The sequence below is a fragment of the Homo sapiens genome, chromosome 20 (genome assembly GCF_000001405.40).
Source record: "Homo sapiens chromosome 20, GRCh38.p14 Primary Assembly".
Classification (NCBI taxonomy): Eukaryota; Metazoa; Chordata; class Mammalia; order Primates; family Hominidae; genus Homo; species Homo sapiens.
In genome coordinates, this window is record NC_000020.11 from 30511077 (window position 1) to 30532365 (window position 21289).

General features: G+C 45.5%; 1 long non-coding RNA gene and 1 pseudogene across 1 annotated transcript; one reads left to right on the top strand and one right to left on the bottom strand.

Annotated features, from left to right (window-relative positions):
• On the bottom strand, positions 860 to 3438 carry LOC110467526 (RNA, 28S ribosomal pseudogene; annotated as a pseudogene).
• On the top strand, positions 2979 to 20107 carry LOC105379481 (uncharacterized). The gene is made up of 3 exons (XR_951069.2): positions 2979 to 3076; positions 9295 to 9296; positions 20096 to 20107. It is a non-coding gene; the product is annotated as an uncharacterized LOC105379481 (long non-coding RNA).
• Positions 20108 to 21289: the final 1182 nt, after the last annotated feature.

The following is a 21289-nucleotide window of genomic DNA, read 5'->3' on the forward strand; positions in this document are numbered from 1 at the left end:
GCCAAGAAGGCACCATTGCACTCCAGCTCCAGCTCCAGCCTGGGCATCAGAGCGAGACTCCATCTCCAGAAAAAGGAAAGAAAGAAAGGAAAAAAAAAAAAAAAAAAACACAAGACAAAACCAAAAAAACAAAAGGAGGAAGTATTACTGACTGATGGCAACAGTGACTCCCTCTTAAAAGTACCGCGGAAGCAAACAAAGTGGGGCTGAAAAAAATGTAGGAGAGGGAGTTCCACGTGGTCCCAGCTCCACCAAAGGCTGAGGCTGGTGAGGGCCACCCGCGGGTGAACGGGGATAGGTGCCCTCACATGGGTGCACCGCACCGTCCAGTGGGACCGCCACTGGTCGCCTGCTGGCCAATCTGGGACACAGGGAGCCGCCGGCTAAGTCCGGAGCTCGCGGGCAGCAGCTGGTTGACCCTGGAGGTTCCGACCGAGATGCGGACGCTCCGGATCCAGCTCATCCCAACGGGCACCCCTGCACACCGCTCGGTCCAGAGGGCCTGCTGGTCGACCTGGGACATGGCGAGCCGCCAGCTGTCTCACACCCTCAGGCGTCAGCTGGTCGACCCCAGAGGCCTGACCCAGGAGCAGCCACAAGTGGAGGTTGGCCATGTGTGGCCAAACTCCAACCCGGAAGCAGGTCGTCTACCAATGGTTTAGCACCAGGTTCCCCACGAACGTGTGTTGCATGACGGGCAAGGAGGCCGCCTTTTCAGCCACACCCTTCCCAGGAAGAAGGGCACTCTGCACCGGACCCAGTCCTGGCACATGGTGGGGCACACCCCACCCAGGGCGAGGCAGCCCACCAGCGGGGGCGGGGAACCGGCTAGCCAAGGCCAACCAAGGCTCCAGGGCGCTGATGTATCCTTCCTCTTGGGCGGGATTCTGACTTAGAGGCGTTCAGTCACAATCCAACAGACTGTAGCTTCACCCCATTGGCTCCTCAACCAAGCACATGTCTGAACCTGTGATTCCTCTCATGCTGAGCAGGATTACCATGGCAACAACACACATCACGGAGGGTAAAACTAACCTGTCTCACGAAGGTCTAAATCCAGCTCACATGCCCCATTAGTGGGTGAACAATCCAATGCTTGGTGAATTCTACTTCACAATGATAGGAAGAACCAACATTAAAGGATCAAAAAGCAACATCCCTATGAACGCTTGGCCGCAACGAGCCAGTTATCCCTTGTGGTAACTTCCTAACAGCTCCTGCTTAAAAACGTCAGAATGATCGTCAAACCCGGCTTTCAGTCTGTATTCGCACTGAAAATCACAATCAAGCGAGCTTTTCTCCTTCTGCTCCACAAGAGGTTTCTGTCCTCCCTGAGCTCGCCTTAGGACATCTGTATTACTGTTCAACAGGTGTACTGCCCCAAACTCCCCACCTGGCACTGTCCTCAGAATGGGTCAACACCCGGCCAGCATGCAGCTGGGCACTTAGCGCCAGAAGGGAGAGCCCCTCGGGGCTCACCCCCTGCCTCACCAGATCAGTGAAAAAATGATCAGAGTAGTAGTATTCCATGGGCAGCCCACAGGACCCCACCCCACCCCCTCACGGGGATAGGGGGCACCGGGGACCTCCCACTTATTCTACACCTCTCATGTCTCTTCACCATGCCAGACTACAGTCAAGCTCAACAGGTTCTTCTTTCCCCAATGATTCCACCAACCCCATTCCCTTGGCTGTGGTTTCACTGGATAGTAAGTAGGTAGGGACAGTGGGAATCTCATTCATCCATTCATGCACGTCACTAGTTAGATGACGAGGCATTTGGCTACCTTAAGAGAGCCATAGTTACTTCCGCCATTTACCCATACTTCATTGAATTTCTTCATTTTGACATTCAGAGCACTGGGTAGAAATCACTTTGCAACACCCCCCGAGGGCCTTCGCGATGCTTTGTTTAAACAGTCGGATTCCCCTGGTGCACACCAGTTCTATACGTCGACTGCTAAGCACCAGCCGAGGCGCTGCACGGAACCGCCGCCCTGGTGGCAGGGACCAGCACGTGGCCCGCCACCTCCACGGAGTGGGGAACAGGAGACAGATGGGGCCGGGGGGAGGTGGGGGAATGAACCACCCCGCCCGCCACCCACCGACACCCAATCACTCCCTGCCCGCGCTGAAATGCATGACAGCGCGGAGCAAGACAGGACACGCCAGCACCCACCGGGCTCCCCATGGGCGGCCACAACTGGGGCAATCCATGGGAAGAGCCTGGCTCGCGTCCAGAGTCACCGCCACCACCAGCTCCCCCTCACGGGAGATCATGCCCTGCCACCGGGGCCGTATAGCCACCGCCACCCCTCCTCCCCCACACGCCACCACCAGAGAGGGGGAGGACAGGGAGAGAGGGGGCGGGGGAGGGAGCGAGCAGCACGCGGGTTGGGGCAGAGGAGGGCCACGACAGGCGTCCCTGGGGCATGGGGGCGCTGCAGGGCCTCTTCCAGCGGTGGCATGCACCCAGCCCAACCGACCCAGCCCTTACAGCCAATACTTATCCCGAAGTTACGGATCCGGCTTGCTGACTTCCCTTACCTACATTGTTCCAACATGCCAGAGTCTGCTCATCTTGGAGATCTGCTGCAGACATGGGTATGGCCCTGCGTAAGACTTACACTGTCTCCCCTGGATTTTCAAGGGCCAGCCAGAGCTCACCAGATGCCACCAGAACCACGATGCTTTCCAAGGTACAGTCCCCTCTCTCGGGTCGAACCCATTCCGGGGCATCCTGCCCTTCACAAAGAAAAGAGAACCCTCCCCAGCGCTCCCACATGCTTCTCCAGGGTCAGTCACATTACCGCACTGGACGCCTCATGGTGCCCATCTCCGCCACTCTGGATTCAGGGATCTGAACCCGACTCCCTTTCAATCGGCTGAGGGCAACGGAGGACATCACCCATCCCTTCGGAACGGCACTCACCTATCTCTCAGGACCAAATGAACCATGTTCAACTGCTGTTCACCTGAGACCCATGTTCAACTGCTGTTCACATGGAACCCTTCTCCACTTCGGCCTTCAAAGCTCTCGTTTGAAAATTTGCTACTACCACCAAGATCTGCACCTGTGGCGGATCCACCTGGACCCACACCCTAGGCTTCAAAGCTTACCGCAGCGGCCCTCCTACTCCTCCCGGCGTAGACTCTGTGGGGCTGCAGGGGAGGGGGGAGGAGGGGAGGGGAGGACCCCCACCACACTCACACGGGCATACTGCCCCTGCCACTCCTGTCCACTCTCAACTGCTGGCAACAGCCGGATATGGGCCCGACGCTCCAGCTCCATCCATTTTCAGGAGTAGTTGATTCAGCAGCTGAGTTGTTACACTCCTTAGCGGATTCCAACTTCCATGGCCACCGTCCAGCTGTCTATATCAACCAACACCTTTTCTGGGATGTGATGAGCATTGGCATCGGGCATCTTAACATGGCATTCGGTTCATCCCACAGTGCCAGTTCTGCTTACCAAAAGTAGCCTACGAAGCACTTGCATTCCACGCCCAGCTCCATGTCAGCCAGCCAGGCTTCTTACCCATTTAAAGTTACAGAATAGACTGAGATCGTTTTGGCCCCAAGACCTCTTCTCGCTGAAATGTGGGCGTGGTTGGAGAGTAGCTGGGACAGACAGGAGGGTCTATAAGTGCTGGGGGTGAAGAGGTGAGAGAGACTGGTGAGGATCTCACTGAGGTCTGTGAGTTTCTAGGTGTTTCTGGGGTGTGAGAGACTGACTCCCGCTGAAATCTGGGCATAGTTGGAGAGTAGCTGGGACAGACAGGAGAGTCATTGATGGCGGGGGGTGAGCTGCTGGATGATGGCAGTAAGAACATATGGTATATTATTAATGAATGAGGTGACTGTGAAGAATCTCCAGAGGAGGACACGGGAGAGCACAATGACATGAGTGATTGTCCTGCTTGGCTAGGAAAGGGAAATGTAAAGTTGTGAAATTCTGTTGATGAGGGATGTGAGAGTGGTGAAGTCCTGTGGGATGATATAGAGTACTTCCACATCCCTGGTGAGGAGCTGCCCCTTGGGTCTGAGTTTCTGGGAGGGGAGAGGGAGAAGCTGGGTGAGACAGGCATGAATCTTGAGGAGTCAGGGCTGGGGGACCGCTCATAATCTCCCGAGACCTGTGAGTCTCTGGGGGACTCCTGGGTGCATGGGGCTGACTCCCGCACAAACCTCTGGATGGCTGGAGAGTAACTGGGAGGCACAGGCGAGTCCCTGAGGCCTGGGGGTGAAGAGATGAAAGACATAGGGGAGGAGCACTGTGAGGCTCGTGAGTTTGTAGGTGATTCCTTGGTGTGGGGGGCTGACTCCAGATGAAATCTGGGGTTGTTTGGAGAGTAGCTGGGAGACACGGGAGACTCCCTGAGAGCCAGGGGTGAGCTACTGGGTGATGGCAGGAAGAACATGTGGTATGTTATTGATGAACGTGGTGACTCTAAAGAATCCCCAGAGGAGGACACGGGAGAGCCCAATGGCTTCATTGATTGCCCATTATGGTGAGGAAAGGGAAATGGGAGCTTGTGGGATTCTGCTGATGACAGAGGTGAGTGTGGTGAAGCCCTAGGGAATGGTGAATGGTAGCTCCGGATCCCTGGTGAGGAGCTTCCTCTTAAGTCTGAGTTTCTGAGAGGGGAGAGGGAAAAGCTGGGTGAGGCTAGCATGGATCTTGGGGAGTCCGGGCTGGGGGACCGTTCATAAGAACAGCCAGACAAGATCCTACTTTTCTTAGGTGCAGACATGATTAGGAAACCTGCAGCTCCCAGGGACCCCTACCAATTTTCTAACCCGCAGAATGAAGGAGTATGTGTGTATGTGTGTGTGTGTGTGTGTGTGGTGTGAGGTATGTGCTCCTTAAGAAAATGGAAATAAACCAACCCATGAGACAGACAGACAGACAGACAGAGATTCACTTAGCCAAGTGTTCTGTCCTGTCCTCTAAATCCACTTCCAAGTCACAAGACGCTGTAAACTCCAAGTCCACGCAGAGCCCGCAAAACGCTCCGGCCGCTGCTACGCTCGGCGAAGATCTGAGTACAGGCCCGCCAGGCTGGGTTTAAATAGCCTCAGGCGCAGCCTAGCAGCGGAAAGGGCAGAGCTTCACTCTTCCTTTCCATCAGTCACCCCCAACTTTCCCAGGCTACACCTCGTAGGAAACTGTTCTCCTGATTTGATTTCATGTGCCACATTTGGGACAATCTAAGAACTTACAAGTTTTCTTGGCCAAATATATTATGAATTAAATGCACTGAAACACTGAAAACCATCTAGTGGTTCTGTGGTTCTCATGTTGTGGTTTTGACACCAGCAGCACCCTTGCAACCCTCAAATCCCGGAGATCCACAAATTTGTGTTGTAACAAGCCCTCCCACTGACCCTGATGCATGGCAGTTTAAGAATTACCTGTGTAAGCGAAAAGACTTTGAAGAAAAAGTGGAGATATGCGTTGTATAAACATTCTTTTGCTCTGGAACCATGTAGAGACTTGGGAGCCAGTTGGGTGGAGCATTCGTTGGATGAGGGTGCTCGGGTTAGGAATATCAAGGTGTGGCTCCAGATAATTCAATCATCTCATTAAGTTTCCAGTTATGCTAATCTGTTTTAAAATTCCGTTTGTGTAAATTCTTTTACTCAGACTGAGAATGGCAAAGCCTCAACCCCAATTTCCAGGGAGGGTTGAGAGCCTCAGGTTGAGTTGATCACCAATAGCCTATGGTTTAACCCATCATGCCTATAGAATGAGGTCTCCATAAAAACCCAAAAGGACTGGGTTTAGAGAGCTTCTGGATAACACTTCCTGAATGGTAGTGCGCCCCTCCCCACATGCTGGGCCCAAAATCTTTTTTCTGAATTTTTTGCAATATCCGCTATAATAAAATGGTAAATGGAAGTCTTTCCCTGAGTGCTGTGAGCTCTTCCAGCAAATTAATGCAACTAAAACTGGGAGTGGTGGAAACCTGATTTATAGCCAGTTGCTAAGAAGCACAGGTAAAATAACGTAGGGCTTCCCATTGTTGTTAGAGTGGGAGGCCAGTCTTGTGGGACTGAGCCCTTTGGAATCTCATGCTATGTCCCGGTAGATAGTGTCATCATTGAATTAGAAGACACCCATACATTGAGAATAATTTTTCTAGTCATTTGCTGTATGTCTTATTTACAATATGTAATCAAATTCTTTATCCTGACCTTATGGCACCTGGGTTGAGAACCATGATTTGAACCAAAAATTGGTCTGTCACTTTCTCAGTTTGAAACTTTATTTGGCTGCTTGGGTTTTGTTATAGTTTTTTCATTTTGTTTTGTTTCCTTTTGTTTCTAAGTTCTGGGGTATATGTGCAGGATGTGCAGATTTGTTACAAAGGTAAACGTGTGTCACGGTAGTTTGCTGAACCTGTCAACCCATCACCTAGGTATTAAGCCCAGCATGCATTAGCTGTTTTTCTTAATGCTCTGCCTCCCAAAAGGCCCCAGTGTGTGTTGTTCCCCTTGCTGTGTCCATGTGATCTCCTTTTTAAGCTCCCATTATAAGTGAGAATGCGGTGTTTGGTTTTCTTTTCCTGGATTAGTTTGCTGAGGATAATGACTTCACATCATCAGTGTTTTTTCTTATTTTAAAGAATAGTACTTTATTGAATAAGATTTATTCACAGAAAAATAAGCTTTAATCTACAATGAATGCCAGACTCTACAGCAGAAAGCAATTTTCTCAGTTTTCCACACACAAAGGTTCCTACTAAGTGAAAAAAGCCATAAAATTTCATTCACAAATGTACTACTCTGTCTCAAAACATTTCCCATAATCATTCATTGTGCTAAAACAATTAGATCAGTTATTCAGTCAGGTTAATGTATCCCTCTGATAACTGATTTTCAAAATGCTATCAATATCCACTCCCTGTCAGTCTGCCATTGTTAATGGTATACAGCATTATGGAATACAATGGAATTGATGAAGCCCATATCCACAGACAAACCATCACTTATGATGGTTTGATTTATGATTTTTCAACTTTATGATGGGTTTATTGGGATATTAGATGAGTTTTTGAGTTACACTGGATTTATGAGTATTTGACCCTATACTCCAGAAATAGCTGTATAAAGAAAAACAAGTGTACCTAATTAAATTATACTGAGTGACTTGGGAGAAACCAATAGATGTTTACAATTGATGGAGAACCAAGAAAGAAAGATAGTGGTAAATAATAACAATAACACAATTTTCCTGCAACTGTCAAGGATTTCCCAAAAATTCACAGAATGTAGGATGCACCTAAGGCATATGAATGGGAGAGGGCAGAAGGAGTAAGAGAGAAATAGGAGGAAGCAAGGAAGGAAGGAAAGAAGGAAGGACGGAAGGAAGGAAGGAAGGAGAAAACACCCGGTGATACTAAAACCAAAAAAAAAAAAAAAAATGGTTTCCCACTGTGGGTAAGACTACAATGTGGATGAATCTTGAAAATATTGTGCTAAGTGTAAAGTCAGTCATAAAGTCTCACATACTGTGCAATTTTGTTTATAGGAAATGTCCACAATATGCAAATCTATGGATATGAGGTTGATCGCTCTATGTAGTTGTTACCTAGGGCTGAGGGTCAGGGAGAGGGTTTGAGACAGAATGAGGAGTGAATAATGTTTACAGGGTTTTTCTCTGGTCGGGGGTGATAAAATGTTCTAAAATGGATTGCGAATTAAAATTGAATATGCACAACCACAAATATACTAAAAGCCACTCAATTCATGACTTTTAATGGGGGAAACTTATGTGGCACACTCTCATCGAGACCACGGCAGATGTAGTGAATGAGAAAAAGGTGAGTAAATATCTGAAAGGGAGGCAGAAACAGAGAGAATGAAAAGCCCTGTGAATGGAAGAGAGAGAGAAAAGGGAAAATCGTCCTATTTACAAATGACAGATCTGAAACTGGGGCTCACATCAACAGTGTCACTGCCAGGGAGGAGGGTCATGCTAGCCATGTCACCGGTAGTGTCGCCCGCAGGGACGCCGACATGCTGGAGGTTCATGTCAGCATGGGCTCTGGCAGCCACGTGGGCCAGCAGGAGGGTCCCGCTGCACAGCTGTCCGGTGAGGATAGCCTGGGTGGTGATATCAGCCATTACAGGGGCCTCTTCTGCTGGCAAGAGTGTGACAGTAGCAAGTAGATGGACAGGCCTGTGTGTGAGGATGGAATGCAGGAGGGACTCTTCTGCGGCTGGGTGTGGGGCCCTCACGAGAAATGTGGAGAAATGGCCAGGTAACTGCGTCATGTTGGCTGGTAGATTGGCCAGGGCTTCGAAGTGAAGGACAGTAACGGGGAGTAGCTGTCAGGCCCTGGGAGTGTCTGAGTGTAAGTGGAGATGTGTTTGGGGTCACTGAGGGATACGTGGGAGCCATCCCTGTATAGATACAGGTCATAGGGAGATAGTCTCATGAGGCCTGTGAGTGTCTATGGTTCTCCTGAGTGCCTGGGGCTGACTGCGGCAGAAATCTGGGGAAGTCTGGAGAGGAGCTGGGAGACACAGGAGAGTCCCTGAAGGCTGGGGGTGAAGAGGTGAAAGAAATGGGGGAGGGTTGCAGTAAGGTCCGTGAGTTTGTAGGTGATTCCTGGGTGTGGGAAGCTGACTCCAGGTGAAATCTGGAGATGGTTGGAGAGTAGCTGAGAGAGACAGAAGAGTCCCTGAGGGCTGGGGGTGACAACATGAGCGAGACTGGGGAGTAAGTCAGTGAAATTGGTGAGTTTGGTGGTGTGTCCTGGGTGCCTGGAACTGACTCCAGCTGGAATCTAGAGAAATTTTGAGAGTAGCTGAAAGAGACACAAGAGTCCATGTGGGCTGAGGGCAAAGAACTGAGAGAGACCAGGGAGGATCTCAGTGAGGTCTGTGAGTCTGTAGGTGATTCCGGAGTGTAGGAGGCTGACTCTGGCTGAAATCTGAGCGTGGCGGGAGAGTAGCTGGGACAGACAGGAGAGTCCCAGGGGGCTGGGGGTGAAGATGTGAGAGAGACTGGGGAGTAACTCAGTGAAACTGGAGAGTTTGATGGTGACTTCGGGGTGCCTGGAACTGACTCCCGCTGAAATCTGGGCGTGGTTGGAGAGTAGCTGGGACAGACAGGAGAGTCCCTGAGGGATGGTGAAGACATGAGAGAGACTGGGGAGTAACACAGTGAAATTGGTGAGTTTGGTGGTGATTTCTGGGTGCCTGCAACTGACTCCCGCTGAAATGCGGGTGTGGTTGGAGAGTAGCTGGGACAGACAGGAGAGTCCCTGAGGGTTGGGGATAAAGGCGTGCTAGAGACTGAGGAGTAATTTAGTGAAAGTGGTGAGCTTGGTGGTGATCCCTGGGTTCCTGGAACTGACTCCCGCTGAAATGTGGGCATGTTTGGAGTAGCTGGGACAGACAGAAGGGTCCGTAAGGGCTGGGGGTGAAGACGTGAGAGAGACTGGCGAGGATCTCACTGAGGTCTATGAGTTTGTAGGTGTTTCTGGGGTGTGGGAGACCGACTCCCGCTGAAATCTGGGAGTAGTTGGAGAGTAGCTGGGACAGACAGGATAGTCATTGATGGCTGGGGGTGAGCTGCTAGATGATGGCAGTAAGAACATATGATATATTATTGATGAATGAGGTGACTGTGAAGAATCTCCAGAGGAGGACACAGGAGAGCACAATGACATGAGTGATTGTCCTGCTTGGTTAGGAAAGGGAAATGTAAAGTTGTGAAATTCTGTTGATGAGGGATGTGAGAGTGGTGAAGTCCTGCGGGATGATATAGAGTACTTCCACATCCCTGGTGAGGAGCTGCCCCTTGGGTCTGAATTTCTGGGAGGGGAGAGGGAGAAGCTGGGTGAGACAGGCATGAATCTTGAGGAGTCAGGGCTGGGGGACCGCTCATAATCTCCCGAGACCTGTGAGTCTCTGGGGGACTCCTGGGTGCATGGGGCTGACTCCCGCACAAACCTCTGGATGGCTGGAGAGTAACTGGGAGACACAGGCGAGTCCCTGAGGCCTGGGGGTGAAGAGATGAAAGACATAGGGGAGGAGCACTGTGAGGCTCGTGAGTTTGTAGGTGATTCCTTGGTGTGGGGGGCTGACTCCAGATGAAATCTGGGGTTGTTTGGAGAGTAGCTGGGAGACACGGGAGACTCCCCGAGAGCCAGGGGTGAGCTACTGGGTGATGGCAGGAAGAACATGTGGTATGTTATTGATGAACGTGGTGACTCTAAAGAATCCCCAGAGGAGGACATGGGAGAGCCCAATGGCTTCATTGATTGCCCATTATGGTGAGGAAAGGGAAATGGGAGCTTGTGGGATTCTGCTGATGACAGAGGTGAGTGTGGTGAAGCCCTAGGGGACGGTGAATGGTAGCTCCAGGTCCCTGGTGAGGAGCTTCCTCTTAAGTCTGAGTTTCTGAGAGGGGAGAAGGAGAAGCTGGGTGAGGCTAGCATGGATTTTGGGGAGTCCGGGCTGGGGGACCGTTCATTAGAAGAGCCAGACAAGACCCCACTGTTCTTAGATGCAGACATGATTAGGAAACCTGCAGCTCCCAGGGACCCCTACCAATTTTCTAACCCCCAGAATGAAGGAGTTTGTGTGTGTGTTTATGTGTGTGTGTGTGTGTTTGTCTGTTGTGACATATGTGCTCCTTAAGAAAATGGAAATGAACAAACCAATGTGACAGACAGACAGAGATTTACTTACCCAAGTGTACTGTCCTATCCTCTGAATCTACTTCCAAGTCGTAAGACGCTGTAAGCTCCAAGTCCACGCTGAGCCCGCAAAACGCTCCAGCCGCTGCTCTGCACTGTGAAGATCTGAGCTCGGGCCCCCCAACAGGGCGGGTTTAAATAGCCTTGGGCGCAGCCTGGCAGCGGAAAGGGCGGAGCTTCACTCCTCCTTTCCATGAGTCACCCCCAACTTTCCCAGGCTACACCTCGTAGGAAACTGTTCTCCTGATTTGATGTCTTATGACACATTTGGGACAATCTGAGAACTTACAAGCTTTGTTGCTCAACTACATTATGAATTAAATGCACTTAAACACTGAAAACCATGTAGTGGTTCTGTGGTTCTCACATTGTGGTTTTGACACCAGCAGCATCCTTGCAACCCACAAACCCCGGAGATCCACAGATCTGTGTGGTAACAAGCCCTCCCACTGACCCTGATGCATGGCAGCTTAAGAATTACCCATGTAAGTGAAAAGACTTTTAAGAAAAAGTGGTGATATACGTTGTATAAATATTCTTCTGCTCTGGAACCATGTAGAGACTCCGGGGCCAGTTGGGTGGAGCATTTATTGGATGAGGGTGCTTGGGTTAGGAATATCAAGGTGTGGCTCCAGATAATTCAATCATCTAATTAAGTTTTCAGTTATGCTAATCTGTTTTAAAATTCAGTTTGTGTAAATTCTTTTACTCAGACTGAGAATGACAATGCCTCAACCCCAATGTCCAGGGAGGGTTGAGAGCCTCAGGTTGAGTTGATCACCAATAGCCTATGGTTTAACCCATGATGCCTATAGAATGAGGTCTCCATAAAAACTGAAAAGGGCTGGGTTTAGAGAGCTTCTAGATAAACCTTCCTGGAAGGTAGTGCGCCCCTCCCCCCATGCAGGGCCCCATGAATCTTTTTTTCTGAATTTTTTCCAATATCCGCTATAATAAAATGGTAAATGTGTTTCCCTGCGTGCTGTGAGCTGTTCGAGCAAATTAATGCAACTAAATCAGGAGTGGTGGAAACCTGATTTATAGCCAGTTGGTCAGAAGCACAGGTAAAACAACCTCGGGCTTGCCATTGGTATTAGAGTGGGAGGCCAGTCTTGTGGAACTGAGCCCTGTGTAATCTAAAGCTATGTCCAGGTAGATAGCCTCATAATTGAATTAGAAGACACCCAACTGATTTCCAGAGCAGAATGCATTGTGTGCTTGACTGACCGAGAGAAATCCCCAGACATGCTGTCACAGAAATCTTCTGTGTTAATTGTTGTGATATGAGAACGGAGGAAAAACAGTTTTTGTTTTTTTCACTCAGCCTAAAATGTAAACGGGTCTATTTTCTCACACTATTGAGGATCACTTGATTTACAATAAAAACGTTTAGTCTTTGATATATAAAAAGGATGTTGGTTTTCGTTTTATTGCTAACAATCAAGGTGGTCATAGTTGATGTCTTTTTGTCATTTTTCTTTTCACTGCCTTGTCATGTCTTTCACCCACTTTTTAATTATTTTATTTTTAACTAAAAAAAAATTTTAGGCCGGGCGCACTGGCTCACACCTGCAATCTCGGCACTTTGGGAGGCCGAGACGGGCGGATCACGAGGTCAAGATATCGAGATCATCCTGGCCAACATGGCGAAACCCCGTCTCTACTAAAAATACAAAAATTAGCCGCGTGGTGGCTGGCGCCTGTAGTCCCAGCTACTCAAGAGGCTGAGGCAGAAGAATCGCTTGAACCCGGGAGGCAGGGGTTGGAGGGAGCCGAGATGGCGCCATTGCACTCCAGCCTGGCGACAGAGTTAGACTCCGTCTCAAAAAAAAAAAAAAAAAAATTAGATACAAGGTCTTGCTGTGTCACCCACGCTGAACTGTAGTGGCCCAATCACAGCTCACTATAGCCTCCAATCCCTGGGCTCAAACAATTCCGCTGCAACAGCCTCTTGAGTAGCTGGGACCACAGGCACACACCACCAGGCCTAGCTGTTCACCCATTTTTCAAGTGTTCATTTTCCCCCCTTCATTGTTTTGTGACCATTTCCTCTTAAGGAAATTAGCTACTAACCGTCATATGTGTTGAGAATAATTTTTCTAGTCATTTGCTGTATGTCTTAATTGCAATATGTAATCAAATTCTTTGTCTTTACTTTATGACACCTGGGTTGAGAACCATTATTTGAACCAAAAATTGGTCTGTCACTTTTTCAGTTTGAGACTTTATTTTGCCGCTAGCATTTTGTTTTTGTTTTGTTTTGTTTTTAAGTTCTGGGGTATATGGGCAGGAGGTGCAGATTTGTTACATAGGTAAACGTGTGCCATGGTGGTTTGCTGCACCTGTCAACTCATCACCTAGGTATTAAGCCCAGCATGCATTAACTATTTTTCTTAATGCTCTCCCTCCCCTAACCCCACCCCATGACAGGCCCCAATGTGTGTTGTTCCCCTTCCTGTGTCCATGTGTTCTCATTTTTCAGCTCCCACTGTAAGTGAGAACGTGGTGTTTGGTTTTCTCTTCCGGGATTAGTTTGCTGAGGATAATGACTTCACATCGCTAGTGTTTTCTTAAATGTCAGCATATTTCTGGGACTTCATTTCTCTTTTTGCTAATGCAAATTACATGCATGTTTAAGACAATATTTGCTTATGTTTTATTTTTTTAAGTTAAAATGAAAGTCCCCATTGCTATATCAACCTCCTCTCTCTTGTTACTTTTATTTCCCTCCCAAAATTACCGTTATTAAAAATTTCACCTTAGTTGTTTCAGATCGGTTTCTATATATTTACACAGATATTTGTGTATAGTTAGGAACAGAGTTTGGGGTTTGTGTGTTTGTTTTTGCTTAAGTGGTGGACGCCTGTCATCCCAGCTACTCAGGAGACTGAGGCAGGAGAATTGCCTCAACCTGGGAGGTGGAAGTTGCAGTGAACCGAGATCACATGCCACTGCACTCCAGCCTGGGTGACAGAGCAAGACTCCATCTCAAAACAAAAACAAACAAACAAAAAAACCTGGCTCTTATTAATCCTTTTAGTCTTTTTCCATCAGGTGAACAATTATGGCATTACATTATGTTAATTTTTCCAGGTAGGAGATATTGGCCATCCTCTTATTTTTTGAGACAGGAACTCACCCTGTCTCCCAGGTTTTACTGCAATGGTGCAATTAGAGCCTCAGGCGATCCTCAGTCTCTTGAGCAACTAGAACTACAGGTGTGAACCACTGCACCTGATAATTTTCTTTTAAGTTTTTTGTAGAGTCGAGGTCTCACTATGTTGCCCAGGCTTGTCTCAAACTCCTGGGCTCAAGCTATCCTCCTGCCTTGGCCTTCCAAAGTGCTGGGATTACAGGTGTGAGCCATCTCTCCCTGCCTCTTCATCCTCTTATAAGCTTATTCTTTTGTATTCCCCTTGCTATTTACTCCTTGTTTCTTTCTGTTTAGGTATTCATCTTATTTATGAACTCTTTGTGTGTATTTTTTTCTAGGTTTTGATCTTTTTTCTTCTGTTATATGTATTAACAAGAAATTTACTTTCAATCTGTTGATTGACATTTGTTTTCATGGTGATATGTTTTAGAAAGTAATATTTCTTAATAAGATGAATTATATTGCTAAATGTAGTAATGATGAATTTCCATGCATTACTGTTGTACTGTAATAATTTTAATATGTTGATGGATTTTGTTTGCTGCTTTCCATAAAATTTTGCAGTTCTATTCATTGAGACATTTTCCTTTAGTTTTCTGGCTTTTTTTTTTGTTGCTCTGTTAGGGTATAATTTGGTTATCAAGATTATACTAGGATTTGTGGTAGTAATATAATAAGTTAAGAAGCTCCTAACAGGTTCTGCTCTCTGGAAAAGTTTATTCTAATAATCACCTCATTGTAGGTTTGTGTTATTTCTCTCTTAGAGCATTCAGAATAGATTTCCTATTTGGGGATGAACCTTAGGTTTCTTCTGAGGTTGTTGTTTTATTTAGCATTTATACTGCTTGTTAAATATATTTGCGTTCTCTATATATTCCCTGAGAATTATATTCTTCACTTCACCTCTGTTTCTTCTGCATTATCTGCTTTCCACTTTCTCTGGTTTTGTTTTGCTGCTGTATATCTGAGACATAGATAGTTCAGTGTTAAGAGCATGGGGCCAGGCTCAGTGGCTCATGCCTCTAATCCCAGCACTTTGGGAGGCCGAGGCGGGTGGATCACGTCAGGTCAGTAGTTCAAGACCAGCCTGACAACCTTGGTGAAACCCCATGTCTACTAAAAACAAAAAATTAGCGGGGCGTGGTAGCTCATGCCTAGAATCACAGCTAATTGGGAGGCTGAGGAAGGAGAATCACTTGAACCCAGGAGGCAAAGGTTGCAGTGAGCTGAGATAGTGCCATTGCACTCCAGCCTGGGCAACAAGATCAAAACTCTGTCCAAAAAAAAAAAAAAAGCTTGAGCTCTGGAAACTTCCTCTCAGTTTGTTGTACTAGATTGTTTAGTAGTTGGTCTGCCTTTTACTAGACATGTTGTTCTCTGTACCTCAGTGTCCTCATCCATAACATAGCAATATAATAGTGCCCATTTTGTAGTGTGACATGAGAATTAAATGAAGTAATACACATGAAAGACTTAGAACACACAAACCCTCAATGCATATAAGCTACCACTGTTATTACCACTTTCTTGAAATGGAAGTTAATTTATTTTCACTCTTGTGTTTCATAAATTTAACGAATGTTACAAGTTTTCCTCTGAGTATGATTTTAAGCTATTTTCCTCTGTTTTGGATATGTACTTCTTTTGCTTTTATTTATTTCCAAATGGTATGTGACTATTATTTTGATTTCCTCTTTAATCCAAGCCTGCATTTAAAGAGTGTCCTCGGGTTCCTTTCAATCTTGAGGTGAATAAATAACTTACAGAACACTCTTTATGTCCTTTTGTGAATTTAATTGCATTATGATCAATGAATGTGACCTACATGGTTTCTGTTCTGGGACATATGTTATCTATTGCATTCAAAAACTACCATTTGAGCCAGGCGAGTTGGCTCAGGCCTTTAATCCCAGCACTTTGGGAAGCTTAGGCAGTGAAGTTCAAGACCAGTCTGGGAAACATGGCAAAACCCTGTCTGTACAAAAGATAAAAAAATTGGCTGCATATGGTGGCATGCACCTGTAATCCCAGCCACTTAGGAGGCTGAGACAGGAGATTCCTTGTCTCAAAAACAAACAAACAAACAAAACAAAACAAAACCTACTATGTGTTTAACTCATGATTCTATAAATCAGTAGTTTGAGTGTGCCTCAGCCAGGCTCACGCTTGCATCTGAGTCAACTTCTAAGTTGACACTGCATATAATAGAACTCACACATCCTTGTCAACTGCACCAGCTGGGTCCTGGGGTGGGGTGGGGCCCTCAACTGGGATCTCTGCCCCACTTGGTCTTATACTTCAGCAGGTCACACACTCACGAAGTCAAAGCAGTCACAGTGGCCTGAGAGACTGAACAGAGTTGTGCATTCTGTCAGATAAAACAATTCACAATGCCAGCATTCCAGGGATGGGGGAATAGACTTCAGCTCTTGAAGAAATAAGGGGCTACAATGTCACATTGTCAAGAGTGAAGGATTTGGTCACTTCTGCAATCTCCCACAGAAAATAATTCTTGAGCTGTCATATGTAGTCTATATTTTGTTCTTCATCTTAGTTTCTCAGTGCTTTTTAATGCATGTTTGAAAACTATATTAGTTTCCTCAGGCTGCTGTAACAAAGTACCAGAAACTGGGTGGCTTCAAACAACAGAGATTAATTCTCTCACACTTCTGGAGAATAGAAATCTGAAATCAAGGTGTCAGCAGGGCCATGCTCTCCCTAAAAGCTCTAGAGAAGAATTCTTCCTTGTCTCTTCCTAGACTCGGTTTCCAGCAATCTTTGGCATCCCCTGGCTTGTATCACTCCACTTTTTGCCTCCATCTTAACATGGCAGTTTTCCCTCTGGGTGTGTCTGTGTCCAGAGTTTCTTCTGTTTTTTAGGACAGAAATCATTGCATTAAGGCCCACCCTAATCTAATGTGGTCTCATCTTAACTTGATTATATCTGCAAAGATTCTGTTGGTCAATAAAGTTATGTTCATAGGTACTGGGTGTTAGGACTTGAACATATTTTTGGGATGGGGGGGGCACACGATTCAACCCACAACAAAAGCCATGCATTTTTTTCTGGTCTTTGTGATATAAAAATTATGTATACATGAATATTTACAGCATTTTGTACTTCAAAACCTTTGTATCTTTTCATTTTATGTCAATGTCTCTGTCACTTTTGGAAAGCAAATGATGTTCTTCATCCTATCTCATTCATCCTCCTCCACGACTATTCACTAGTCCTTATTTTAAAAAAAATCAAAACCTCAGTTTCCATGATCAATCTGCAACCCCATCCCTGAAGTTTATGCCTCCTTCCCTCTAGTATCCCAACTCCAGCAATACCTTGTCCTGAGGGAAACTTCAATTCATAAACCCATGAATTTCTATGACTTTATCACACACCTCATGTTCCCATTTTTTTCTCCATACCCAATCCATAGTGCATTATAACCACAACCTTTTGTATATCCTGAGTTCCCATTCCATTATCTCTCTTGCTTTTGTGGCAAAACTCTTATCCTTATTAAATGCAAATTTTTATCACAAACTTGTTGGACATGCTGGCTCATGCCTGTAATCCCAGCACTTCGGGAGGCTGAGGTGGGTGGATCTCCTGAGATCAGGAGTTCGAGAACAGCCTGGCCAACATGGTGAAATCCCATCTCTACTAAAAATACAAAAATTAGCGGGGCATGGTGGTGGGAACCTGTAACCCCAGCTCCTCAGGAGGCTGAGACAGGAGAATCGCTTGAACCCAGGAGGCAGAACTTGCAGTGAGCCAAGATCGCATCATTGCACTCCAGCGTGGGCAACAAGAGCAAAACTCTGTCTCAAAAAATCAAAATAAACGACAACAGCAAGAAAATGTATCACAAACTTACCTGAGCAGTGGCTGGAGAAGAAAACACACAATTGTGCTACCTGGTCTTCCTCTAAATTTCAGGCCACAGACAATGAGCCAGTGCTCACTGCTTCCAGGCAATCCTACTCTATTTCTCTAGACTATTCAGCCTCCCATTTGCCGGAATGACCATTTCCCACTTTTTCATCTCTTCCCAAACATCTCTCCCTGCCCTCTTCCTCCCTCTTCCCTTCTAGCTCATGACCTTGCTTCTCCTTTCACTGAGAAAATAAAATCAATCAGGAAAAATATGCCACCTTCTACTATGAAATCTAGCAAATTTCTTGCACTGAATCCCCATATGCCTTCATGTCACCATGGCTGGGCTGTGCCTGCTTCTAACTGTAATCCCCTCAGCTTGTGCCCAAGATCCCATCTCTTCTTGACTAGTCAAGTACTCTGTTTCTGCTGCTGCCCCTTCAATTCTCCAGCGTCACCAGCATCACTCTCTTTCAGTGCATTTCCATCAACTTAGGACTTGGTTAACATCTCCAGTCTTGGTAGGCATGGAATGGTATTTGATTCCATTAGCCTTCCTAGCTACCCTCCCTCCTTTCACTGCTGTTCTTGACCACAAGTTCTCAAGAGACACTGCCTCAGTTTCTCCAATTCTTTTAAAACTCACTCCATTCATGCTTCCCACAACCTCCACATCATCTTGTCTGGCACACACATTTCCCCATAGCTGCTCTAGTTAAGATTACATCGCCAAATCCAGCAGTCAGTTTTCAGCGTCTCTCATCTTACTTGACCTACCAATAGCATATGACACCACTTGTATCATTAGTGTGGGTGATTGTTTCCATTAGTATAATGCAGCATTGTCTCAATTAGTATAATTATATTAATATGCATTAATATAAATTCTATTAATATTATTCACTATAAAGCCATGTGGGAGGTTATGATTCTACTACCACTCATACAGTTTTTGTTTTCCTGGTGTTTCTAAGTGCTTTTTTGATACATTATATATAGTTATTATTTCTCCAAGTTTTCAGTGTCTCAAATATGTTCTATAATGTATGGAGTCTACTTTTTCCAGATTCCACCTTCCTGGATCCCCCCATCTTTATCCTTCCTTGAGGGCTGATTACCATCTTGGCCTGATTACAGTCTGGTTCAGTCTCCTGGGACTTCCTTTCGCTGTGATCCAGCAAAAAATCCAGGGTTGAATTTCCTACTCCCTAGATGCTAAGTCTTCCTCTTTCTTAAATTATTACCTCATTTGCTGCAGCACGTAATCAAGTAACAGCATGAGGGTTACTTCTCCTGCACTTAAGAGTACATAAAGAGTACATAGGAGGTACATTTTCTGAATCCCAGTATTTTTCCATTTAGGCAATTTATAGTTTGCATAACTATTGCTGGGTCTAAGTTGACAATCATTTTATTTCAGAATTTTAAACAAAAATATGAATTGATGGGCAGAATAATGGATGCATATTGCTGAAGGTGCAAATTAGTGAGCTGGAAGATTAGGCAAGGGATTATTCCAGAGAGTAATGCAAGCAGATGGCACATTAGGATATGTGATGGGTATATGATGGATATTAGGAGACGTGAAAGAAGGAACCAACATATGGATAATAAGAGTATCACAAAGGGAGGGAATATACAATAATGGGGAGGAAAACCTCAAAAGAAAAAAATAAAATAAAATACCCCAGAGCTGGAGGAGAGATTTGAGATTCTAATTGAAAGGTCCTGCTGAGTGCTTAACAGGAAGAAGCAAAAAGCTCGTCAAATTAAATTATGGTAAAATTTCAGCTGATAAAGAAAAAAATCCTAAATGCCTCAAGAAAAAAAGTAAAACCCAAATATTACCTATTAGAGATTGAAGAATTAATTTGGTATCATAGTATTCATCAGTAATAAAAACTAAAAGAGAGAGAGATAATGTTTCAAAGTTATGAAGAACTGTAACTTGTGTCTAAGTATTACATGCCCAGGCAAGCCAACATTTGCTGTGAGGGAAGAATGAAGACATAAGACAAAAGGATACAAGGAACTTACCAACTTCAGACTGTCTGAAAAAAATTCTTAAGAATACAGTCCAGCAAAATAAATAAATTCAAGATAGAGGAAGATGTACAGTATGTACAACAAGCAAGAATATACAGTAAATCTTAAGGTTAAATCTAAATAATTGTTTATATGTGAGGAAAAAAGAAAATTTAGTGTTCAGATTCTAGAAGACATAAATATGGGAGATGAGAGGAGAAGAAAGGAAGAAAGCTTGTTAAAAACATTCTTGTGGGCCGGGCCTGGTGGCTCACGCCTGTAATCGCAGGACTTTGGGAGGTCAAGGCGGGCAGATCACGAGGTCAGGAGATCGAAAGCATCCTGGCTAACATCGTGAAACCCCGTCTCTACTAAAAATACAAAAAAATTAGCCGGGCGTGGTGGCAGGCACCTGTAGTCCCAGCTACTCAGGAGGCTGAGACAGGAGAATGGCGTGATCCTGGGAGTCAGAGCTTGCAGTGAGCCAAGATTGTGCCATTGCACTCCAGCCTGGGCATGGAGCAAGAGACTCTGTCTCAAAAAAAAAAAAGGAAAGAAAAAAATAAGAAAAAAACATTTCTGACCAGACTTGATGGCTTGTGCCTATAATCTCAACATTTTTTCAGTCCAAGGTGGGAGGATTGTTTGAACACAGATGTATCAGACCAGCCTAGGCAACACAGTGAGACTCTATAAGAAAATTTTTAAAAATCAATTAGGCATAGTGGTGCACACCTGTATTTCCAGTTACTTGGGACACTGAGGTGGGAGGATTACTCATGCCCAGGAAGTTGAGGCTACAGTAAACAACAGAGCAAGACCATGCATCAAAACAAACAAACAAAAACCAAAACAACTAACAGAAAACATTTTTTTAATTTGGAAAGATGATATCAACACTGATGAACTCTAATAAACTTTTAATAGAGGAATTTTATAACTTATATTTATAAAACATCTTATTATGTTGCTATAAACATGTGTGTGCAACTATCTTTTTCATATAATGACTTCTTTTCCTCTGGGTAGATACCCGGTAGTGGGATTGTTGAATCAAATGGTAGTTCTACTTTTAGTTCTTTAAGGAATTACCACACTGTTTTCCATAGTGGTTGCAGTAGTTTATATTCCCATCAGCAGTGTAAAAGTGTTCCCTTTTCAGCCCATCCCCACCAACATCTATTATTTTTTAAATTTTTTATTATGGCCATTCTTGCAGCTGTAAGGTGGTATTGCATTGTGTTTCTGATTTGCATTTCCCTGATCATTCGTGATGTTGAGCATTTTTTCATATGTTTGTTGGTTATTTGTATATCTTCTTTGTAGAATTGTCTATTCATGTCCTTAGCCCATTTTTTGATGGGATTCTTCGTATTTTTCTTGCTAATTTGTTTGAGTTCCTTCTAGATTCTGGATATTCATCCTTTTTCAGATGTATGGATTGTGAAGATTTTCTCCCCCTTTGTGGGTTGTCTGTTTAATCTGCTCAGTGTTTCTTTTGCTGTGCAGAAACTTTTTACT